General features: G+C 49.0%; 1 annotated feature.

The window, feature by feature from the left end:
* Positions 913 to 1,450: an enhancer, noted in NCBI's record as "H3K27ac-H3K4me1 hESC enhancer chr2:184714487-184715024 (GRCh37/hg19 assembly coordinates)". NCBI's record gives its function as "activates a minimal SCP1, AML or CMV promoter by ChIP-STARR-seq in naive H9 embryonic stem cells {active_cell/tissue: H9 hESC(naive)}" and the evidence as "EXISTENCE:reporter gene assay evidence [ECO:0000049][PMID:30033119]".

Here is a 1,744-nt window from a genome sequence, read left to right as displayed (position 1 = left end):
CTTCTGGCTTGTAGAGTTTCTGCTGAGAGATCCGCCGTTAGTCTGATGGGCTTCCCTTTGAGGGTAACCCGACCTTTCTCTCTGGCTGCCCTTAACATTTTTTCCTTCGTTTCAACTTTGGTGAATCTGACAATTATGTGTCTTGGAGTTGCTCTTCTCAAGGAGTATCTTTGTGGTGTTCTCTGTATTTCCTGAATCTGAACGTTGGTCTGCCTTGCTAGACTGGGGAAGTTCTCCTGGATAATATCCTGCAGAGTGTTTTCCAACTTGGTTCCATTCTCCTTGTCACTTTCAGGTACACCAATCAGACGTAGATTTGGTCTTTTCACATAGTCCCATATTTCTTGGAGGCTTTGCTCATTTCTTTTTATTCTTTTGTCTCTAAACTTCCCTTCTCGCTTCATTTCATTCATTTCATCTTCCATTGCTGATACCCTTTCTTCCAGTTGATCGCATCAGCCCCTGAGGCTTCTGCATTCTTCATGTAGTTCTCGAGCCTTGGTTTTCAGCTCCATCAGGTCCTTTAAGTGCTTCTCTGCATTGGTTATTCTAGTTATACATTCTTCTAAATTTTTTTCAAAGTTTTCAACTTCTTTGCCTTTGGTTTGAATGCCCTCCCGTAGCTCTGAGTAATTTGATCGTCTGAAGCTTTCTCCTCTCAGCTCCACAAAGTCATTCTCCATCCAACTTTGTTCCATTGCTGGTGAGGAACTGTGTTCCTTTGGAGGAGGAGAGGTGCTCTGCTTTTTAGAGTTTCCAGTTTTTCTGCTCTGTTTTTTCCCCATCTTTGTGGTTTTATCTACTTTTGGTCTTTGATGATGGTGATGTACAGATGGGTTTTTGGTGTGGATGTCCTTTCTGTTTGTTAGTTTTCCTTCTAACAGACAGGACCCTCAGCTGCAGGTCTGTTGGAGTACCCGGCCGTGTGAGATTTCAGTGTGCCCCTGCTGGGGGTGCCTCCCAGTTAGGCTGCTCAGGGGTCAGGGGTCAGGGACCCACTTGAGGAGGCGGTCTGCCTGTTCTCAGATCTCCAGCTGTGTACTGGGAGAACCACTGCTCTCTTCAAGGCTGTCAGACAGGGACATTTAAGTCTGCAGAGGTTACTGCTGTCTTTTTGTTTGTCTGTGCCCTGCCCCCAGAGGTGGAGCCTACAGATGCAGGCCTCCTTGAGCTGTGGTGGGCTCCACCCAGTTCGAGCTACCCGGCTGCTTTGTTTACCTAAGCAAGCCTGGGCAATGGCGGGCGCCCCTCCCCCAGCCTCACTGCTGCCTTGCAGTTTGATCTCAGACTGCTGTGCTAGCAATCAGCGAGACTCAGTGGGCATAGGATCCTCAGAGCCAGGTGCGGAATATAATCTCGTGGTGCGCCGTTTTTTAAGCCCGTCAGAAAAGCGCAGTATTCTGGTGGGAGTGACTTGATTTTCCAGGTGCCGTCCGTCACCCCTTTCTTTGACTAGGAAAGGGAACTCCCTGACCCTGTGCACTTCCTGAGTGAGGCAATGCTCGCCCTGCTTCGGCTCGCGCACAGTGCACGCACCCACTGACCTGCACCCACTGTCTGGCACTCCCTAGTGAGATGAACCTGGTACCTCAGATGGAAATGCAGAAATCACCTGTCTTCTGCGTCGCTCACGCTGGGAGCTGTAGACCGGAGCTGTTCCTATTCGGCCATCTTGGCTCCTCCCCCCTGTAATTTTTTAATTACCATTTCAATCTTGCTGCTTGTTATTGGTCTGTTCAGGGTA

This window comes from Homo sapiens, chromosome 2, assembly GCF_000001405.40.
Source record: "Homo sapiens chromosome 2, GRCh38.p14 Primary Assembly".
In the NCBI taxonomy this organism is placed as follows: Eukaryota; Metazoa; Chordata; class Mammalia; order Primates; family Hominidae; genus Homo; species Homo sapiens.
This window is presented reverse-complemented; position numbering and strand designations above follow the sequence as displayed.